The sequence below is a fragment of the Homo sapiens genome, chromosome 5 (assembly GCF_000001405.40).
Source record: "Homo sapiens chromosome 5, GRCh38.p14 Primary Assembly".
Taxonomy (NCBI): Eukaryota; Metazoa; Chordata; class Mammalia; order Primates; family Hominidae; genus Homo; species Homo sapiens.
The window spans coordinates 108,352,939-108,377,284 of record NC_000005.10 but is presented as its reverse complement, the minus strand read 5'-3'; the positions used below and the strand labels follow the sequence as shown (position 1 = coordinate 108,377,284).

At 34.6% G+C, this 24,346-nt stretch overlaps 1 protein-coding gene across 13 annotated transcripts in view; it reads left to right on the top strand.

The window, feature by feature from the left end:
• Nucleotides 1-24,346, top strand: part of FBXL17 (F-box and leucine rich repeat protein 17) — a 523,064-nt gene that overhangs the window by 4,814 nt on the left and 493,904 nt on the right. For all 13 annotated transcript variants that reach the window (XR_427717.4, XR_007058627.1, NM_001163315.3 and 10 more), the window contains exons 2-3: nucleotides 9,332-9,454; nucleotides 12,290-12,547. Coding sequence is in view for 11 of the 13 variants with exons in the window: in NM_001163315.3 (NP_001156787.2) it covers nucleotides 9,332-9,454; nucleotides 12,290-12,547 (381 nt within the window). In the remaining 2 variants the exon portion in view is untranslated. The remainder of the gene's footprint in view (nucleotides 1-9,331; nucleotides 9,455-12,289; nucleotides 12,548-24,346) is intronic.

Genomic DNA, 24,346 nt, shown 5'->3' with positions numbered 1-24,346 from the left:
GGATAACCTCTTCACATATCCTGGCATAACGTGAAACTATGCACATGTGTAGGGGAGACCTGAGGTTGTCTAACTGAGAGCAAGGGCCAAGGCAGATGAGAATTCTTTAAGCTTTGAATGTGCCCTTCTTAACCCAGATACAGATTAAAGAGCAGGCTCAAGCTGTTTGAGCATATCTTTGGCATGTACATAGCTGAAAACTAAGATATTCAGACACAGAATGACTTCTCTAGAAAGCCAGGCTAAAACATATATATGTGAATTAAAATCTGAACAGATGTAGTCACACTGCCCAGGACACAGATTCCACAGTTTAGGGCCAGACATGTTAAAAGGCTCAGAAATATAAAATTCTACACTGGTGGCCAGGTGCGGTGGCTCACGCCTGTAATCCCAGCTTGAACCCGTGGGTGGAGGTTGCAGTGAGCCGAGATCACACCGCTGCACTCCAGCCTGGCAACAGAGTGAGACTCTGTCTCAAAAAAAAAAAAAAAAAAAGAATATACACTGGCTATGTTATCCAAAATGTCCAGTTTTTAACAACAAATTTTAAGACACGTAAAGAGACAGAAAAATGTGACCCATGCTGAGGGAAAAAGAAAGCAGTTAATAGAAACTGACTGTGAGTGAGCCTAGATATTAGACTTAGCAAAGACTTCAAACTGCTATTATAAACATGGTAAAAGAAAGGAAACATTATTTAAATAATTACAGGAGAATATGATGACATTGACCCAACAAATTGGAAATCTCAATAAAGAAATGAGAGCTGTAAAAAAAGTTTTATTCTTTTTGATGCTATTATAAATGGAAGTGCTTTCTTAATTTCATCTTCAGATGATTCATTGCTAGTATATAAAAATATTTGCTTATTAGCTCTAAAATTAATTTTTGTGTTTATTCTCTGGGATTTTCTCTATATAAGACCATGACATCTGTGAATAGAGGATGTTTTAATTCCAGCTCCCCAATCTGGATGCCTTTTGTTTATATTCCATGTCTAATTGCCCTAGCCAGAATCTCCAGTACAATGTTGCATAGAAGTCATGATGCAGAAATCCTTGTTTTGTTTCTGATTTTGGGGAAAAACTTTTAGACTTTTACCATTAAGTATAATGATAACTAGGGGTTATTGGTAGATGCTCTTTCTCAGGTTGAGGAAGTGTTCTTTTATTCCTATATTTCTGAATGTTTTAATCAAGAAAGGGTATTAGATTTTGTCCAGTGCTTTTTCCTGAATCAGTTGAGATGATCATGTGTTTTGTTTTTGCTTTTTACCTTTATTCTATTAATATGGTGTGTTACATGGGTTTTTTTCATATGTTGAACCATCCTTGCATTCCTGGGATAAATCCTACTTGGTCATGGTGTATAACCCTTCTACTATACTGTGGATTTAGTTTCCTTATATTTTATTGAAGATTTTCACATCGGTATTCATAAGGGACATTGGTCTGTAGTTTTTTGAGATTTCTTTGCCTGGCTTTGGTATCAGGATATGCTGGCCTTATAGCATGAGTTGGGAAGTAGTATCCCATCCTCTCATTTTTGGAAGAATTTAAGATAGATTGGTGTTCATTCTTATTGAAGCATATTACTGGTGAGGCCATCTGGTCCTTGTCTTTTCTTTGTTGTAAGTTTTTTGTTTTTTATTACATATTCCATCTTTTTACGTGCTGTACATCTACTCAGATTTTCTATTTCCTTTGAGTCAGTTTTTATAGTTTATATTCTAGGAATTTGTCATCTATTTCATCAATTTGGTAGCATACAATTATAGTATTCTCTTATAATTGTGTACTTTTTGTAAGGTTGATATTAATGTTCCCATTTTTATACATGATTTTAAAATTTGAGTCTTCTCTCTTTATTCTTAGTCTAGCCAATTTTGTGTGTGTGTGTGTGTGTGTGTGTGTGCAGGGTCTCTGTCACCCAGGCTTGAGTGCAGTGGTGTGATCATAGCTTATAGCTATGTAAATGGAAGTGCAGCCTTAAACTCCTGGGCTCAAGTGACTTTCCCTCTTGTCAGCCTCCTGAGTAGCTGGGTGCACAGGCATGCTGGCGCATGCCTGGTTAATTTCTTAAATAATTTTTGTAGAGACAGGGTCTTGCTATGTTTTCCAGGCTGGTCTCAAACTCCTGGCTTCAAGCAGTCCTCCCACTTTGGCTTCCCAAAGTGCTGGGATTATAGGTGTCAACCATTGTGCTCGGCCTCATCATTTTAAAGAATAAACTTTTGGTTTTGTTGATCATCTATTATTTTTCTAGTCTATATTTCATTTGTATTAGCTGTATTTTTTCCCCCTTGTTTCTGCTTAGTTTGTATTGAGTTTTCTTTTTATAGTTTCTTGAGGTAGAAGTTTAGGTTGCCAATTCAAGATCTTTCTTCTTTTTAAATGTAGTTACTTGTTTCTGTATCCCATAGATTTTGCTATATGTGTTTGTTTTCATTAATTTCAAATTATTTTCTAGTTTTCTTTATGAGTTCTTCTTACTTGTTGATTGTTAAATTTTCATGTATTTGTGAAATTTCCAGATTTCCTCCTGTTAGTGATTTCCCCTCCTCTTTCCTCACCTCCCTTCTCCTCTTCTCTTTTCTTTCATTTTTTGAAACAGAGTCTCACTGTATCACCCAGGCTGGAGTGCAGTGGTGTGATCATGGCTCACTGCAACTTCTGCCTTCTGGGCTCAAGCAATCCTCCCACCTCAGCCTCTCTAGTACCTTGGATTAAAGGTGCACATGCCACCACGCCCGGCTAATTTTTGTATTTTTTGGTAGAGATGGGAGTTTTGCCATGTTGCCCAGGCTGGTCTTAAACCCCTGGGCTCAAGTGATCTGCCTCCCTCGGCCTCCCAAAATGCTGGAATTATAGGCCTGAGCTGCTGTTCCTGGCCTCTGTTACTGATGTCTAATTTCCTTTCATTGTCATTGGAAAAGATACTTTGTATGAGCTTAATATTTTCAAATTTGTTGAGACTTGACTTGTAGTGTAGTATTTTAGACTTTGGTCTTTGAGAATGTTTTTATGCACTTCAGAAGAATGTGTATTCTATTTTGTGTAGTGTTCTAGAGATATCTGATAGGCCATGTTTAAGTCTTGTTCAAGTGTTCAGTTTACTTGTTCATCTCTTGTCTGGTTGTTCTATCCATTATTGAAAGTTGTACGTTGTAGTCTCCAAGCATTAATGCGGAACTCTTTTTGGTTTTTTTCCTTTCAATTCTGTCAGTTTTTGCTATATGTATTGTTCCATGCTTTTACTCTCAATCTGTGTATATTTTTGGATCTAAATTGAGTCTCTTGTAAACAGTATATAATTGGATTGTGTTTTTACATTTTATCCTGTTATTCATTGTGTCTTTCTTTTTGAGACAGGGTCTCAGTCTGTTGTCCAGGCTGGAATGCAGTGGCACGATCACAACTCACTGCAGCCTCGACCTCCTGGGCTCAAGCTATTCTCCAACCTCAGCCTCCCATGTAGCTGAGACCATAGGTGCATACCACTATGGCTGGCTAATTTTGTCATTTTTTTTGTGGAGACAGGGTCTTGCCATGTTGCCCAGGCTGGTCTTGAACTCCTGGGCTCAAGTGATCCACTCAACACAGCCTCCCAAAAGTGCTGGGATTGCAGGTGTGAACCACTGTGCCTGGCCCTGGCCTTATGTGTCTTAACTGGAAAGTTTAGCCCATTTACATTTAGTGTAATTAGTGATAAGGAAATACATTTACTATTTTATTATTTGTTTTCTCTATGTCTTATATATTTTTTGTTTGTCAATTCCTCTGATGCTGTTCTTTGTGTCAGATATTTTCTAGTGTACCATTTTGATCCCCTTCTCATATATACATATAATTCTCACATTATATAAATAAATATAACATATCTAAATATATTAATATATTTAGATATATATTTATATTAATATATATTTAGATATATTATATTTAGATATATATTAATAAAAATTTAATATATTTAGATATATATTATATTTATATTAATATATTTAGATATATATTATATTTATATTAATATATTTAGATATATATTATATTTATATTAATATAATATATTTAGATATGTTATATTTATGTAATGTGAGAATATGTATATATGAGAATTATATATATAAATAAAATATAGTAAATAATTATGTGTGTATTTCTTAGTATTTACCCTGGGGGTTATAATTAACACTATATATTATAACAATTTAGTTTGAATTAATACCAGTTTAGTTTCAGTGGTATATAAAAACTTTGCTCCTGTATTTGTTGTTATTGTCACAAGTTACAGCTTTATGAATTTTGTGCCAATCAATATAGATTCATAATTACTGTTTTATGTAGTCTTTTAAATCATATAGCAAAGAGGAGGCATTGCAAACCAAAGACACAGTAATATGCACTTTTATATTTACCTATGTAAATACCAACAATTACTGGTATCCTTTAGTTCATATGTGATTTTAAGCCACTGTCTGATCCCCTTACATTTCAGCCTGATGGACTCTTTATAGTATTTCTTTTAGGGGAAGTTTACCAGTGACAAACTTCCTCAGTTTTTGTTTATCTGGAAATATCTTAATTTTGCCTTTATTTTTAAAGGGTTGTTTTACCAGATAGAGGATTCTTGGTTGACAGTTTCCTTTCAGCATTTTGAATATGTTATCCCACTGCCTTCTGGTCTCCATGGTTTCCAGTGAAAAATCAGTTGTTGATTGTATTGAGTGTCCTTTTCACGAGTTGCATTTTTCTTGCTGCTTTCAGGGTTCTCTCGGTTTTTGTCTTTCAACAATTTGATTATGATGCATCTTGATATGAATCCTTTTGCATTTATCCTGCTTGGAATTCATTGAGTTTATGAGCTAGATTCATGCCTTTCATCAGATTTGGAAAGTTTTAGCCATTATTTCTTCAAATATTTAGGCCTCTTTCACTCTCTTTTCCTTCTGTGCCTCCAATTATATGTATATTAGTATGTTTGGTGGGGTTCCACATGTATGTTCATTTTCCTTCAGTCCACAGACTCAGTAATTTTAATTTACCTATCTTTAGGTTTGCTGATTCTTTCTTCTTGTAGAGGTTCAAGGGATTTTGATGTTTCTCAAGAAAGAGATATGATTATAAGAAGTGGTAACACACAACAAGCTTCATTTGGTGGCACTTGGACAGGATTATATGAGAGGAAACTTCTTTTACAGCATGAAGCTGTGCAGAGGCTTACAGCGAGGTAGACTGCCATACAGAAGGGGAGGAGGGCAAGGCAACCCCTGGGGAACAGGAGAATTGGAGAGCAGGCTTACCTGTCTAGGTGATGTCACTCAGCAGCATGATGGGATGTGTAAAAATTTGAGTTTGGTACTAGTGGGCTCTTGAGCTAATGAGTCTCGTCCTGCAGTGAAGAAATAACCTAGGAACCAATACACAGAGGTCATCTTTGGCTTATTTATATAACACTTCCACTTGCTCTAATCTGTTTAATCTCTGTAGTGAATTTTAAAATGTCATTACTGTATAATTTAGTTCTATAATTCTTATTTGATTTATTTTCATAATTTCTACTTTTTATTAATATTCTCTATTTGGTGAGACATTTCTATTTGGTTCTCATAATTTCCTTTAGTTCTTTGTCCACGGTTTTCTTTAGCTCTGTGAGCATGTCTTAAATTGTTGATTTATTGTCTTTGTCTAGTAAGTCCAATGTCTGGGTTTTCTCATGGGCAGTTTCTTTTCATTTCCTTTTTTCTTGTGAATGGGCCAGCAAACTGTAGCCCTTCACAGGCCAAATCCACTGCCAGTTTTTGTAAATCGTGTTTTATTGGCACATAGTTGTATACATTCATTTATGTTTTGTGTGCCAATAAAACTTTATTTGGTTATCTGGCTAGAAAGATGGAGTTTCTCTCAGAGATACAGCCACCTGTGCTGCTGTGTAGTTTTGCATGACTGGGGCTGCTTTTATGATAAAATTAAGAAACAGTAGTGGGAATTCTTTGTTTACTTGTTGGACCACAGAGTTCTCTTCCCCAATTCTTCTGACCAGAATGGTGGGTTTACTTTTGGGGTCTATATTGCAGCTCTGCTACTGACGTAGCATTTGGGACATAGCCAGTAGGGAGAAAAGAGAAAAGGGGAAGAAAGGAAAACCAAAAATCAAGTCTTCTCACATTCTCTGTCTTGCAGAGGCCCATTTTCCTGGTCCTTTGTCCAGAAAGATAGCTTTTTCTCTGAATTTTTGTTGATTTTTACCTCCTGTGCATTTCTGTACAGGGACCACCCTGAATTCCATACTAGGGGATTAAAGAAAAAAAAACCCAGGAAACTCATCTTTGTTATTGGCCATTCTTCAAATTTTGGCACCCTTCCACAATTCATTTGTTACTAACTTTTTAGAGTTTTGAGGCAATTGCTTTTAATATATTGTCCAGATATTTTAGTTGTAATGCCTGCAAGTAAAAGGCTGTAGTGGGCTTAATACATGTTTGCTGGCATGGGAGACAAATTCGCTAGTGACTTTCATGATTTTTTTTTTTTTTTTCCGAGAAGGAGTCTTGCTCTGTTGCACGGGCTGGAGTGCAGTGGTGCAATCTTGGCTTACTGCAACCTTCGCCTTCCAGGTTCAAATGATTCTCCTGCCTCAGCCTCCTGAGTAACTGGGACTACAGGCATGCGCCACCATGTCTGTCTAATTTTTGTATTTTTAGTAGAGATGGGATTTCACCATATTGGCCAGGCTGGTCTTGTACTCGTGACCTCATGATCCACCTGCCTCGGCCTCCCAAAGTGTTGGGATTACAGGCATGAGCCACCATGCCCTGCCACTTTTATGATATTCTATACTTCTCACTAGACTTGTTGGAGGAAAAACTGGTTGTGAAGGTAACAGGCAGTTGTTTTCCCGAGGCCCAAGATTTAAACATAGTAGAGATTCTAGCTTATATGTTTACAACTTTTGTCCATATAGAGGTAAGTCATTTTAGGTAATAATTATAATTGAAATCATGTATTACAACAAATCCTTGACTAATAGCCTTTAGTTCAACATCATTGTGTTATAATGTTAATGAGAAAAAAAACAAAACAAAACAATTCGTAGCTGGGCCCACTGTCTATGTAGAGTTTGCATGTTCTCCCCATGCCTGCACATATTTTCTCTGGGTATTCTGGTTTCCTCCCACATCCCAAAGCTGTGTACATTAGGTTTTGTATAAGGTGTGCATGTGTCTAGATGGTCCCGGTATGAGTGAGTGTACATGTGCCCTGTGGTGCATTGGTGTCCTGTCCATTGCTGGTTCCTACCTTGTGCCCTGACCTCTGGTCACCTGCAACCCTGAACTGGAATAACTGGGTAAATAATTATCTTACTTGTTTTTATTAATCTTTCTTAAATGTATAGGTCACATTTGTTTCAGTGTTTAATCTTATTTAATAATTCCTTTAAATTAATATCTTTTATATTCAGTTTTATTTGATTGTCTGAAAAGTATCTTCTTAGAATTGGTTCAATTCTGGATCTCAGTGTGGCCCACACATGGTATTTGTTGATAAAGCTTTTAATTTTCCAAGATTTGTATTGGCCTTCATCCTGACCCTAACCATCTTTTTATGATGTAACTTTTAAAAATTATTTTTTAGAATAGATTTTATTTTGGAATAATTTTATTTTTATATTATATATTTAAAATATATGGTGTTTTGACATGGAATACATTCAGATTTATAGAAAAATTGCAATGATAGTACAGAGATTTCCCCTATATTCGTTATCCAGTGTTGACGAAAGCAGTCAAACTCTGTAAAATATTTGAAGAGATTTACTCTGAGCCACATATGAGTGATAAGTGGCCTGTGACACAGCCCTCAGGAGATCCTGAGAACATGTGCCCAAGGTGGTTGGGCACAGCCTAGTTTTGTACATTTTAGGGAGACATGAGACATAAGATATACATTGGTTCGGTCCAGAAAGGAGGGACAGACTCGAAGTCAGGGCTACTGGGTTATAGCTAGGTAAAAGATAAAAGGTTGCATTCTTTTGGGTCTTTTATCAGCCTTTCACTGAATACTCAATTTACACCTGAGGGAGTGTAGAGGAATAATCACTTCTGCCTTAGTCTGACTCAGTGAACCTGCATTTTTACATAAACAATATGGCAGAGGAAGCAATCAGATATGCATTTGTCTTAGGTGAGCAGAGGGATGATGGAGTTCTGTCTGTCATTTGTCCCATATCTGTGAAGAGAAGCTATCAATTTACATGGTCAGGGTGAAATTCAGCAGAACTGCTTTAGGGTCAAGATCTTGAGGTCCACAGAGAATTTCCTTTTGGTCAAATTGTGAGGGAAGTATGTAGCTTTTTTTTTTTTTTTTAAATCCTTGTAGCTATCTTATTTAGGAATAAAATGGGAGGCAGGCTTGCCTGATACAGTTCCCGCCTTGACTTTTGTCTTTGGCTTAGTGATTTTGGGGTCCTGAGACTTATTTTTCTTTCATACTTGTTTACTTCCCCTGATTTTATTTTCTTCTGACACTGTGGTACATTTGCCAAAACTATGAAATCAGCATTGTACATTACTATTAGTTAAACTCCAGTCTTTATGTGGTTTCACCAGTTTTTCCATTAATGTCTTTTTCTGTCCCAGGATCTAACTGGATAACATTAGTTGTCATTCTTTCTTAGTCTCCTCTGAATTGTGATAATTGCTTTCTTTTTTTGTTGTTTTTCATGACCTTGAATTTTTTGAGGAGTTTTGATCCAGTATTTTGTAGAATGTCCCACATTTAGTATATATATTTTATTATTAGATTGGTGTTATGAATATTTTGGAAAAGATACCATAAAGGTAAAGTACCTTTCTTATGATTTACTTTTGTTTTTCTTTTTTTCTTAAATCACATATGAAAAGTTCACGTGGCTCCAAGGTCAAACTGTAAAACTTCAGAATAATCTCAAGTTTATCACTCTTTCTTCCCTAGTCTTTTTTCCCTTCCCAGAAAGGTAAACAGTTTTTTTTTTATTAGTTTTTGGTTAATGCTTTCAATTCTTTTTTTTTTAAATATAAGCAAACACAAAGATATGCATGAACACGTGTCAGTACATGCCTGTTCTCTTCCCCTCCTCTTCTTACAGAAAATATAACATCAGTCCGTTTTTAGCTCCTGTATCATAGTTTCTCTTTAAGGTGATCTCTTACGGTGACTTACAATAATGGCCTCTTTTATTCAAGAAGGTTTTCTTTTTACAAAGTTAACTTTTTCTAACTAATAAAAACCTTTTCCTGTGCCTTGAAAATGTTTAGCACATATTATATGGTACCGTTTTTTATTCACAGATATTTTCCAATTTGTCACTGGATGAGCGTTGCCTTTCCGCATCATTGGTTTGCAAGTACTGGCGTGACCTTTGTTTAGACTTCCAGTTTTGGAAGCAGCTGGATCTTAGTAGTCGTCAGCAGGTATGGAATCCAATTCTAAGTAACACTCATATGACCTACTCAAAAAATATCTTTATTCCTCTTCAGAAATCTTTACTGTCTTCTTGTTTTTTAAGATAGTTCAAATCACTGTAATCTACAATTTTGTGCTTCTGTAGTTTTTTGTGTATGTGATTTCAAGGTAAAGCTAGATTCTCATAGTAAACAAGATAGTTTTTCATGTAGATTGGTAATTTAGGGTTGCTTTTTAGGTCTTTTTGTCTTTTTTCATTACCTTTTCAAAAAGTTATTAAACTTCTTTCTGTGGGGGATCATACTACAAATAGTTTAATAGTAGAAAATGATGGCAAACATTTCTGTAGCAATGCCTCTGTTGTTGTGTACTGTTCTAAGGGCTTTATGCATACTAGTTCATTTGATCCACCCAACAACTCTGTGAGTATATACTATTATTTTTTCTCCTTTACAGATGAAGAAATGGAAGTAAAATAGGCTAAGATAACCTTTTTTTTTTCTTTAACTTTTCTTTTGGTGGACTTTCTACTCTTCCTGTTGCTTAGCTGCCTAATGTGTTTATATAGGGGCATAAATTAGGAAAAAAGAGTTTGTAGTGTTTGTTGCAAACAGTTTTTTTGACTTGTTAGATTCCATTTTTAAAACTTGATGGTATTTGGCATTAGAAATATGTAAAAATGTCAATAAGAATAGCATTTTATCGAAGTACTAAACCTGTTCTAAATTCTGCCATGGTGTATTACTACTAGTGTGCTGATAAATGTTTAGCAACTGTCTTTAAAAAAAAGCCCTGATTTGTAATATTTGCCAATTTCTATTACATAAATACTCCCACCATGACCAGTGTCAAGCTACACGTTATGCCATTGAATGCAGATTTGAAAAGAGGGGCACACTATAAACTCTTGTGAGGTGCTACAAGCCAACTCCAGCACACTGGTAGTGTATGTGTTTGTGTGTATATAACACACACTTTAACCAAGTTAAGCAAGCTCACGAGGATTTGTGTATAAGTTGTTCCCTTTCTGTTTTTCTCCTTCATTGGTAAGAGGTTAAAACTATTAAGATAATTTGTTATTTACTTGCTTGGGTTCATGACCTTTATATCCAAGGAGAATGGTGAGGGAGTTAGTTGTGGGCAGTAGAATGGAGAGCAGATATGTGTAAAGCAATCTATCAGCTTGTTACATCATTACTCTTGAATGTTTGAGTTATTTATTATGAACTCAGGCTAATAATAGCTTCCTCCCCCACCCAAACCCCCTCCCCACCCAGCCCGCTACTGGTAGTAAGGTGTGGAGATGAAAAAGTAAAAAATAAAAGGAGAGGTATGTCAGAGTTATAACTTTTCCGAGAACTGTGTTTATGCTGTTTCCAACAAGCATAAACGAAGATAGTTTTATCTTTGGCTGTTACTCCAAGTGCTGCTTAACAGTGTAGTTCTTTCCTTCTATTCTAAATTTCATTTGCATTTTCTGTCTCCATTATTTTTACTGAAAGGACTTGAATAACATTAACTTTGTTTTGTATTTTGGAAATGTGGTGATTGGGCACAGAATATGTAGAGGCTGGTTTTAAAACAAAAATTCAGATGGCCATCTGAGTTTTTCACCAGATGAATTGAGTCGTCTGAGAAAAACTTTTTGATGTGGACGTTCCTATATAGTCTTTGGTGTTCTGATATGCAAAATGGTGTATTTTCCAACCTATGAATTATATGCGAGGTATTGTTTCTCATAGAAACAGTAAAAGATTAAAAACTTACACGCTGTGGTATCATCTGATATCAAGTGTAAAAGTGAATTTTCATATAACATTATTACTGATGTATACTATTTCATGGGTTACAAATGGAAAGTGAAACATTGAAAATCTCAGTATAGTTTTATTTGTGGTGAGTTTTTGCTGAATTTGAATTTTCCCACTAAGGATAGATTTTTAGGCTTTTAATGAGACGAACACATATCCTTTGTTGGTGTTTTCTGATACCACTTCTGACATCAAATATGTGGAGTTTTTCCACACTAACAATTTTCTAACACTAACTGGATGTACAACAATTCAGTTCAACTAACTCCCAGAGGTATCACTGAGTTTAAGGGCTCAGTCCCACAAGACTACCCACACTTCAGATATCAGTTGCAAGTCCCAGAAGCCACCTGAACTTCTCACTGACCAATTATAAACTTGTGAGTTCCCTTAATTTCTTTCTCAGTTTTGATAATTAGCCACAACTATTCACTGAACTCTGGAAAATACTTACTATATTTATGGGTTTATTATAAAAGATATAGCTCAGGGCCAGCCCACTGGAAGAGATGCAGAAGGCAAGGTATGGGATATACCACCTTCTCAGCACTTTGATGTTGTTTACCATCTGAATCTCTGTCATTTGAGTTTTTATAACCCAATCTCCAGCTTCCTTCCTCTCCTGTAAGTAGTGTTGAAAGTTATCACCCTCTAATCAAGGGTTTAGTTTTTCTGGTAACCAGCCCCCATTCTGAAGCCATCTAGGCGCCCCACTCTAAGTCACTTCATTAGTATGAACTCAGATATGGTCTAAAGGGCTTGTTATGAATAACTAAAGAAATTCTATTGCTTAGGAAATTCCAAGAGTTTTGGGAAATATGTGGCAAGAATTCAGGACAAAGACCAATTACAATATTATTATTATACCAAATTCTTGTTATGCTTCAATGTTAAGACGGTTTCTCTTTTGATTATATCGTTCATGCTATAATCTAATTAGTATATTGTTTATTGTGGAACATTTAATTAAAAAATGGAAAATACGTTTTTATTTTTAGCAAAAGTTTAAATTTATTGCTTTTTCTCTTACAGGTCACTGATGAATTGTTGGAAAAAATTGCATCAAGAAGTCAGAATATAATTGAAATCAACATTTCTGATTGTCGCAGTATGTCTGATAATGGCGTATGTGTTTTAGCATTTAAATGTCCTGGACTTCTTAGGTATACAGCCTACAGGTGTAAACAGCTTTCTGACACCTCTATTATTGCGGTTGCCTCTCACTGTCCTTTACTTCAGAAAGTGCATGTAGGCAACCAGGACAAACTCACTGATGAAGGACTCAAGCAGGTAAATTTTAGCATTTATAAAGTGATTTTACTTGAATTAATTAAAAATGTTTTCTAGCAACAACATTTTAAATGGTTACGTTAAAAATAGTTCCCAGAGACTCAAGTGAATCATCTTTTTTACCTATTAATGAATATTTGTTTAGATTAGTTAACTAGAGTGCCATGGTTATAATCAGTAAATTAACTGCTTTGTTTTATAGTGAGAGCCTGAACTTCTGTGACCAGCCATTTTATAAATTTATGCTTTTGTTACTTAAATTTTTTACCACATTTTGCTTTGGGCAACTGCGTAGTTTTGGTCAGCATGAGGTTTTAAAAATTAACATTTTAATTCCCCTTTTATTATACTAGATGACATACATGCTTAAATATCTGAATGTTTAAGGGATAAATGGACGTCCAAATTGAAGATTATAAAAGTTAGAACAAAGGCCTAATTACCTCTATTTGGTACAATAACTGGGTTAAAAATAGTATTATGCATACCTTCTGTTTATTATACTTCCTTTGGAAATGGCATTTAAGGTTTCTTGGCTCGGAGTGGATTATTTATTCAACAGATGAATATCCTTAAATTTAAACCTTATGTATGAATTAACTGAAAGCTTGGTATGAAAAGAAATTTGGGAAGACTCTATCCTAAATAGTGAGTACTGGGTGTGTCAGTACAACTTATATATTAAGAATGTTACCAACTTATAAGGGAGCCTATTTTGTTTGCAAAGGCATATTGTGCAAAAAGTCTTATTTGTTTTAATATTTTTCTTGATTCATTTCTGCTATGTACAGGATTATTTACTAGCAAAGCATTTCATGAAGTTCTTAAACATATTAAATTAATCTTTTATGAAGAAATATATATTTTGTGTATATAGCATGATTTTATTTACTTTGATGGAAATTTCTCAGCAATTTATTTTTCACAATGAAACATTTTAAAAAGGTGTATGTATTAAGAACTGGATTAAATCTATTTCATATTTAATTCTGATATAACACAAATAGGTAGTAGTTTAGCAGACTTCTTAGGGTATACCTAGTAATTTTTGTGAAAAAGAATAAGATCGTAGTCATGGTTGAAGTAGAGAAGGAGCAACATTTAATATGCTAATCAAGTATTATGAATTTATCTTATATTTACAACTTTGAGAGTAATTATGTAAATCTTCTCTAGAATGTGAGGTATTTTGGAGCCTGTTACTTAGATGTTTCCTTCGGATATTTATGGTTTCTGAATTATGAATTAGTTACACGTGAGGTAATATTCTGATAAAAGTAGCAAAACAAATTTTTTTCCCCTTAGGTAGTTTTCTTCTTAAGTAATTACATAGGATCTCATTGCAGTGTAGAGAATATTTTTCTGTACTTAAGACCGCTATAGCTGGGTATGTCTGATTTCATAATAGACTCTTTCCTCTGATGGAATAGTGTTATGGGTATAGTAGAAAGAGAATGGCTTTCATATATACATAAAATAGAAATTAAGTTTTATGAAACAATACACATCCTTATGTGCAATGCACATGGATATTATCTATTCTGTTCTATACTATTATGTTAAATGTTGGCCTTGACCCACTCACTAAATTAATTTTATGACCTAGTGATATTTCATAAATCCGAATATGGATTTATATTATGGTTTTAGTAAACTGACAGTGCTATGTTAAAATGTATAATAGAGTTACGAAAGCCTAAGAGGGAACTAGCCATAATTGATGATTTGCCTGGGACTGTTATTTTTTCTTGAACTCATTAATTTAGCAATTGACTGAATTGTTGATTCTACAGATTAAGTTGTTGCAGGGTTCTGTTTTTTCCCTCTTCTGTCAGTAAAAATTGAGAAATGTTTTAGAATGATATATGTAAATTTTATTGATAATTTCTTTAGAATATATTTTCTTTATAACTGCTATAATTTTGATTGACTTTAGCGGATACCAAATATGTGTGCCTTTTGAATTCTGTCAGTTTGTTTACAAAAACAGTTGCTTATAGCATTTCAATTTGGAGCTCTAATAGATGTAGACTCTAATGTTTTAACTATTGGATTCTGCTTAACAATATTTCTTAAGCATGGTGAAGCACCTAAAAAAATCAGGCTGGTTTTGGTTGAATACTATCCTCTTTGTGAAATACCACCCTGAAATATTTATATTTTTATTTTCATAATAGTCACTCAAAATAATTTTACCAGTGGAATGTGTTCCTATTGTATATATCTTTTAAAACTACAATCATGTATCTAGAGGAAAAATCTATTTAAGAATAAAGGGCTGTTTCAATTTTCCTAATATTTTGTTATCATCTAGCACTTGCCAGTAAACAAACGATAATAGTAGTCAAAGTATTAAAATATATCTAAGAAATTGTATGCATTGTTACTATATTATGTGACTCAATTATATGCAGTTTTAGCAGTTTAACACTCCAGCTCATGGAGCTCAGTAGAAATTTCTGTAAATAAGTCACTGTAGGCTTTTTTCAGATAAAATGGTACAAAAATAATAAATGTTACATTAGTAAATTTTGATCTGGCTATGCTATCAATTTTTAGGTCTTTAAAAATAACTACTTAGAGTACTATCAGCAAAATGTTGGAGCAGGCAGCTCCAAAAGCCTGCCTCTCCAAAAAAACATTGAAAAACAAGCCTAAACTATCAGATCCAACTTTGTCAGAACTCTGGAAACGTCAAAGGTTTATAGCAACCAAAGGAATGCTAGACAAGAAAAATGCAACTGAAAGGTGGAAAGAATGCTTTGTGGGTTTTTTACTTGCCTGTGCCTCACCCATTCCCCAGCTTGGCAACAGTCTTGAAGATAGCAGTCCGAGTTCCCAGTGTGGGACCCAGATCCCTGGTTCCAGAGGGAACAGAGCAGACCTTATTTGCAAATTATTCATTTGTCTGATCAACCTACCTGAGAGCTATTTGAAGGGCTGATGCAGGTGCTTATATATCTGTTTTACCTAATTTAGAACCCAGTCAGGGAGGAAAATTAGTGGGCATTGATTGAACACAGTATAAGGCAAATGAAAGAAACTTGCTTTTGAGCAAGCTTCTTTGGGCAATAGATTATGGTGAGACATACAATTGACCTAGGAGAAAGAGCCTGGGAGAGAGTTTGTTTTTATTTTTGTTTTTGTTTTGAAATTAGGACAATCAGCCTCAGTGTATAGAAGGGAATTTTGAAAGCCGCATGCATGCCCAGGGCAGGACACTTGTTCAGGAACGACCTAAGAAGACTGTAAACTTTATCACTGTGTGCTTGCTAGGTCCAGTACAAGCAGGAAGTAAAGGCCAAGGCAGAGTTGTGAATGGTATGGCTAAGTCTTAAAGAAATATCCCAGCACAGAGCCAGTCTGCAAAGACTTGAATAAGTGCTTTTGTTTTTTGTTTTAGTTTTGTTTTTAAGCTTTGGCATCCAAGGAAATCTCTTTCAAAACACTGGCTGAACACAAGCTAAGCCTTGATTAATCAAAAATAGTGAAGCGTAGGGAAGTGGGGAGAATCTAATTTCCCAAGTTACCACATTATAATCTAATATTTTAATATTTAGTTTTCAACAATAAATTACAAGGCATGCAAAGAAAAAAGTATTACCCATTAAAACAAAAAAGAATAAATAGAACCCATTCTTGAGGAAGCCTGGACATTGGATTTACTAAAGATTTTACTAAAGATTTTAAATCCATTATCTGAAATATGCTCAAAGACATAAAGGAAACCATGGCCAAAGAAATGAAGGAAATTAGGAAAATAATGTATGAACAAATTGAGAATGTCAATGAAGAGCTAGAAATTATGGAAAGAACCAAATAGAAATTCTGGAGCTAAGAAGTACAATAACTGAAATAAAACATTTACCAGAGGGATTCAAGAGCCGAAGTGAGCAGGTGGAAGAAAGAAGATAGGACAATTGAATTTATTGAGTCTAAGAAAGAGAAAGAAAAAAGAGTGAAGAAAAGTAAGTAGAGCCTAAGAGATGGGTGGGACATCCATCAAGCAGAAAAACATTCACATTTTGCTAATTCCAGAAGGAAAGGAGAAATAAAAGGGGCAGGAAGAATATTTGCAGAAATAATGGCCCAAACTTCCGAAATTTGGTGGAAGATACGCATCTATACGTCCAAGAAACTCAATAAATTCAGGGAGGATAATGTCAAAGAGATATACACTGAGACACATTATAGTATAATTGTCAGAAGTCAAAGACAGAATCTTCAAAGCAGCAAAAGATAAGTGACTCATCACATACAAGCACTCCTCAATAAGATTTACAACTGTTTTATCATCAGAAACTATGGAAGCCAGAAAGCTGTGGGCTAACAATATTTAAAGTGTCGAAAGAAAAAAAAGTCAAGCAAGAATTCTGTATTTGTCAAAACTGTTAAAGAATAGGGGCACTCAAGGGGACATTAAGATATTTCCAGATAAGCAAAAGCTAAAGGAGTTTGTTACTAATAGATCTGCCCTACAAGAAATGCTAACGGGAGTCCTCCAGGCTGAAATAAGATGCTAGATGGTAATTGAAAGCCATATGAAGAATAAAGAAAACTGATGAAAGTAACTACATAGAGGTTGAAAGGATGGAAAAAGATATTCCACACCAGAAGAGAGCTATAATAGCTGTTTTATTATCCAAAAAAACCAGGTTTTAAGTCCAAAAGGGATCCAAGAGACAGAATTATTATATATTGATAAATATAAAATATTAATCTTTCAGGAAGATGTAGCAATTATAACCACATATGTACCTAACAACAGAATCCTTAAAATATATATAGCAAAAATTGAAAGACTTGGAGAGAGGAATAGACAGTTGTACATTAATCATTTGAGACTTAAGTAATTCACTTTCAATAATGAATAGCACAACTAGGAAGAAGATTAACAAAGAAGCAGAGGATGAACAGTACCATGAACCCACTGCACCTAGCAGATATGTACAGTACACTCAACAACAAAAGAATACACATTCTTCTCAAGTGCACATGGAACAGTCTCACAGATAGACCATATGTTTGATCACAAAACAAGTTTTATACATTTAAAAAAGATTGAAATCATACAGTGTGTCTTCCCTAACCATAATGGAATGAATCTGGAAATCAATAATAGAAGGAAAATTGGAAAATACACAGATATGTAGAAATTAAATAACAGAGTCTTGTACAACCAATGGCTTATAGAAGAAATTACAAGGGAAATTAGAAAATATCTTGAGATGAGTGAGAATGAAAACACAGCGTTCCAAAACTCAAGGGATGTAGCAAAAGCAGTGCTCAGAGGGCAGTTTATAGCTGTACAATCTTACATTAAAAAAGAAGATCTGAAAGCAGTAATCAAAGCGTACACCTTGAGAAAGAAGAGCAGGCTAAACCCAAAGTTCGTGGAGGGAAGGAAATAATAACCAGACCAGAGATAAACATGATAGAGGACAGAAAAGCTATGGAAAAAAATTATTGAAAACCAAACTAGGTTCTTCGAAAAGATTTTAAAAAACTCTGACAAACCTTTAACTAGATTGACTAAGAAAAAAGACTCAAATTATTAAATCATAAATGAAAGAGTAGACATTACTACTGACTTTATAGAAATTAAAAAGGATTGTATGAGAAAACCATGAATAACTGCATACCAACAAATTGGATAGGCTAGAAGAAATGGAAAAATTTCTAGAAATACAGAAACCAGAAAAACTGACCCAAGAAGTAGAAATTCTGAGTTCCAGCTACTCATGAGCCTGAGGCAGGAGGATTGCTTGAGCCCAGGAGGCTGAAGCTATATTCACTGCACTCCAGCTAGGGCAATATAGCAAGACCCCATCTCTTAACAAAAAAAGAAAAAGGTAGAAAATTGGAATATATTTATAATAAATAAGGAGATTGAATCAGTTAAAAAAATTTCCAATGAAGAAAGACTAAGGACCATAGCTTTGATGGTGAATGTTTTCAAATATTTAAAGAAGAATTAACACCAGTCCTTCTCAAACTCTTTCAAAAAAATTGAAGAGGAGGCAACACTTCTTAACTTATTCTGTGGGGCTAGCATTAGCCAGCCCAAGACCCTACAAAAATGAAACTACAAAACAAACAACAGCTACAGACAAGTATCTTTAACGAGTATGTAAAAATCTTCAAAATGCTAGCAAACTGAATTCAGCACCAGATTAAAAGGATTCTACACCGTAACCTACTATGATTTATCCAAGGAGTACAAGGGTGGCTCAACATACAAATATCAATCAATGTAATATACCACATTAAGAGAATGAAAGGAAAAAAAAACCAGTCATCTTAATTGGTGTGCAAAAGCATTTGGTGAAATAAGCAGCCTTTCTTGAAAAAGCAAAGCAAAACAAAAACCTATCAAACTAGGAATAGAGTGATGCTTCCTCATCATAATAAAGACCATATGTGACAAACCCACAGCTGACATATTCAGTGATAAAAGGTGGAAAACTTTTTCCTTAAGATCAAGAATAAGACAAGAATGCCTGCTTTTGGCAATCCTGTTTTACATTGTGCTGAAAGTTCTAAGGAGCAATTTGGCAAGAAAAAGAAATAAAATGCTTCCAAATTGGAAAGGAAGAAGTAAAACTATTTGTATTCGAAGATGACATTATTTTATGAATAGAAAACCCCAGAGAAACCACAAAAAACCCATTTGAACTAATAAGTGATTTCAGCAGAGTGGCAGGATGCAAAATCAAAATACAGAAAAATCAGTTGTATTTCTACACACCCCAAAAGAAATAGAATCCAAACGATTTCATTTACAACAGCATCCAAAAGTATAAATTTGCCTTTAAACACTGCTTTTGCTGGATCTCATAAATTTTGATGTTTTATTTTTATTTTCATTTAGTTCAAAATATGTTCAAATTTCTTCTGAAGTTTCTTCTTTTACCCATGTGTTATTAAGAAACGTGTCATTCATGTATACCTATGTAACAAACCTGCACGTTGTACACGTGTACCCTAGAACTTAAAGTATAATTTAAAAAAAAAACGTGTTATTTAAATCTCTAAGTTTTTTGGGAGTATTTTCGTCATTTTCCTGTAATCGATTTTTATTTTATTTCTATTGCAGTATGAGAGCAGACATTGTATAATTTTTATTCTTTTAAATTTGTGAATGTGTGTTTTATGGCCTGGAATGTGGTTTGTTTTGGTGAATATTCCATGTGCGTTAGAGAAGAATGTGTATTCTACTACTGGATGAAGTGGTCTCTAGATGTCCATTATATCCAGTCAATTAATGGTTTTATTGAGTTGAACTATGCCTTTACTAATTTTCTGCCTGCTGGATCTTTCCATTTCAGATAGAAGGATATTAAGGTCTCTAATAGTGAAGTTATTCATTTTTCCTTGTAGTTCTAACAGTTTTTGCTTCACATATTCTGACACTCTTTTGTGAGATGAATACATATTAAGGATTATTATGTCTTCCTGGAGTATTGTCCCCTTTTGTTATTATGTATGTCCCTCTTTATCCCTGATAACTTTTCTTCTTCTGAAGTCTGCTCTGTCTGAAGTTATTATAGCTGTTCCCAGTTTTTAGTTAATAATTGTAATTCTTCTTAAACATTTCTGAAGGATTGCTTTTAAGTACTTTTTCTCTCAATTTACAACTCTCTTAATTTACAGTTTTATTCACTGTTCAGATCACTTTTGAATTCATTGAAATTTTGAAATTTTGTTTGCTGCCTGATTTTTGTGAATGCTCTTTTGACTTTTAAAAGCCTTTAAAAGAGGAGTTTTGGGTTCATTTCAGAATTGAGAAATTTTGCATATTTCCTACATACTCCTATTCCTCACATGCATAGCCCCTCCCATTATCAGTATCCCTCACCAGAGTGACACATTTATTATAATCAATAAATCTTCATTGATATATCTTTATTTCCAAAGCCCATAATTTATGTTAGGGTTCACTCTTGGTATTGTACATTCTATGAGTTTAGACAAATATATAATGACATGTATCTACCATTATAGATACAGTATAGAGTATTTTCACTGCTCTAAAAATCCTCTGTATTCTGCCTATTTATTCGCTCCTCCCCTCTAACTCCTGGCAACCCCTGATGTTTTTATTGTCTTTGTAAACTCTTCTGGAATGTTTATGATTCCAGTTGGAATCATATAGTATGTAACCCCTTTAGATTGGATTCCTTCACTTAGTAGTATGCAGTTAAGTTTCTTCCATGTCTTTTCATAGCTCATTTATTTTTAGCAATGAATAATATCCTATTGCCTGTTATGTACCACAGTTTATCCATTCAAATACTGAAGGACATTTTGGGCATGTCCAAGTTCTGGTAATTATAAATAAAACTACTATAAACTTCTGTGTGTAGGTTTTTGCATGGGCATAATTTTTTCAGCTTTTTTGGGTACAAACCAAGGTACATGATTGCTGGATCATGTGCTAAGAGTCTTCAGCTATAATAATGAATTCATCTATTTCTCCTTCTAGTTCTGTCATTTTTTACTTCACATATTCTGATGCTCTCTTGTTAGGTACATATGTCTTAAAGATTTCTAGGTTTTTTTGGAGTGTTGACTCCTTTATCATTAAGTCATGTCCCCCTTTATCACTGATAACATTCTTTGCTTTGAAGCCTGCTCTGTCTGAAATTAATGTAGCTACTTCTGCTTTCTTTTGATTAGTATTAATATGGCATATCTTTCTTCATCCATTTACTTTTAATTTATATATTTCTGTCTATTTAAAGTAGATTTCTTGTAGACAACATAGAGTTGGGTCTTGTTTTTTGATCCATTTTGACAATCTGTCTTTTAGTTGGTGTTTTTAGACCACTGATGTTTAAAGAGATTATTTCTGTAGTTGGATTAATATCTACCATATCCGTTAATGTTTACTATTTGCTGCCCTAGTTCTTTGCTAATATTTTTGTCTTCCATACTTTTTCTGCCTTTTGTGGTTGTAATTGAGCATTTTAATGATTCAGTTTTCTCTCTTTCTTAGCAGTCAATCATAGTTGGTTTTTTTTCTTTTACTTTTTAAAGTGGTTATCCTGGAATTCACAATATACATTTATAACCAACTCCACTTTCAAATAACTTTGTACTGCATCACAGGTAGTGAAAATATCTTATAATAACAAAATATTTTAAAGTTTTCTGGCTGGGTGCGGTGGCTTATGTCTGAAATTCCAGCACTTTGGGAGGCTGAGGCAGGTGGCTTACCTGAGGTCAGGAGTTCGAGACCAGCCTGGCCAACATGGCAAAACCCCGTCTCTACTAAAAATACAAAAATTAGCCAGGTGTGGTGGCGCACGGCTGTAATTCCAGCTATTCAGGAGGCACAAGAATTGCTTGAACCTGGGAGGCGGAGGTTGCAGTGAGCCAAGATCATGCCACTGCGCTCCAGACTAGGGGCAGTGTGAGATTGTCTCAAAAATAAATAAATAAATAAATAAATAAATAAATAAATAAATAAATAAAGTTTTTCATCCCTTATATTATTGATACTATTTACTTCACATATATAAGCATATATATGTGTGTGTATATGATGAAATACATCATTATTATTTTGAAGAAATTGTTATCTGCTAGCTTAATTAAGAATAAGGAAAATAAATGTTTTTATTTTACCTTCATTATTCTTTCTCTGATGCATTCTTTCTTTGTATTGATCCAAGTTTTTGACCTGTGTCATTTTCCTTGTTTCTGAAAAACTTCTTTTATCGTTTCTTGCAAGGCAGGTCTAGTGGCAACAAATTCCCTCATTTTTTGTTAGACAAAGTCTTTATTTCTCCTTCACTTTTGAAAGATAATTTCACAGGCTATAGAATACTAGGTTGTTGGTTTTTTTTCACTCGAAACTTTAAATATTTCACTCTACTTTCTTCTTGATTGCGTGGTTTCTAAGGAAAAGTTAGATATAATTTTTATTTTTGCCCCTCTGTAGGTAAGGTGTTTTTATCCTGTGGCTTCTTTCTAGATTTCTTACTTTTTTTTTTCTTTTTTTTTTTAACCTTTGATTTTTTGCAGTTTGAAAATGATATGCCTAGGTGTAGTTTTTTCTTTGTTTGTTTGTTTGCAGTTTTCCTTCATGGTATTCTCTGAACTTCTTGGGTCTGTAGTTTGGTATCTGATCTTAATTTGGGTAAATTATTAGTCAGGAGTGCTTCAAATGTTTCTCTGTTCCTGTCTCTCTCTCTTTTCTTGGTATTCACTTTTCACTTATGTTATACCTTTTGTAGTTGTTCTGTGGTTCTTAGATATTCTGTTCATTTTTTTTCAGTCTTTTTTCTCCTGATTTTCAGTTTTGGAACTTTCTATTATATTCTCAAACTCAGACTTTTTCCTTAACCATGTCCCATCTACTAATGTATCTTTTTATAGTGCCTATTGGTGCTTGCGTGTTGCCTACTTTTCCCATTAAAGCTCTTAACATATTAATTGTAGTTTTAAAAAATTTCCGGCCTGGTAATTCCAACATTCCTGCTGTATCTGACTGTGGTTCTGATGCTTTTTTCAGTCTCCTGAAATTGTCTTTTCCTTGTTGGTATGCCTTTTAATTTTTCATTGAAAGGTGGACACGATGCACAGGTTGAATGTCCCTAATTCAAAGTTCCAAAATCCAGTATGTTCCAAGATTGGAAACTTTTTGAGTGCTGACAGGATACTCAAAGGAATTATGCATTAGAACATTTTGGATTTTGGATTTTCAGATTAAGCATGCTCAACTGATAAATGTAATGCAAATATTCAAAAATCTGAAAAAAATCCAACAATTAAAACGCTTCTGGTCCCAAACATTTTGGATAAGGGATACGCAACCTATACTGGGAAATGCAACTTTCATAAATGGGCCTTTAGTAATGTAGTGGTTAGGTGTGGGGAGAGGAGGAATGATCTATAGTTTTAGGATTAGGTTTTAATATTTTGGCAAGTCTGTGCCACTGGGCTACCTTTACCAGTGCTTCTTTTTTTCCCCTTACCCTTAGGTGGGCTGGGATGGCTAGAGAGGGCTGGAGTTTGGTATATCCCTTTCCTTACATGGAAGGCTAGAACTGGCTGGAGTTCAATATTTCCCTTCCCCTAGGAAGGTTAGGCTCTGACAAAACTCCCACAGGTTAGGCTCTGGTAAAACAGTTCCTCCTGAGGACAGGCCTTGTTAAAAATAATAGAATGCTCTGGCATATTTCAAAATGGTTACTTTTCTCCTCTCATTGCTGTATGCATGAGGTGATTTCTCTCCAGTATTCTCCGTGAAGACCTGGTAGAGCTCCTGTAGATAAAACTCACAAAAGCATGAGTGTTGTCTTATAACCTGGTCCCCCTGGAATTTTTAATTATCAGACTTATCCACGCTGTGCCTCCAGTATTTTGTCAAATGCAGAGTTCAGGTTTTCCTACTCTAGCCCTGGTTCCCGCTGAGGTTTCTGGTAGTAGTTTCTCTTCTGGTGAGTTGTGCTTCTCTGCATCTGTCTGTCTCTGCAGTTTTGTGGCAGTGGTTTGGTCTGTGTCTTCATTTCTCTGATGGATCTAAAAAGAATTGTTAATTTTTCAGTGTGATCAGCTTTTTATTTTTTAGAACAGATTGGCAACTTCTAAACTCCTTACATGCCAGACTGAAAACCAGAAATCTTTTCTTTTAAAGCAAGCATTACAGTTACTGAATGATCATCCTTGTCTTGTTTGTGTTCAGTTTTATGCTTTATTATGTGGAAAGCCCAAGGTGTTTCCCAAATCCCTCTAACTTGGATCATCTAGAATAGGCCTTATTCTAGGGCATAGTTCTTGCTCCCAAGGTAC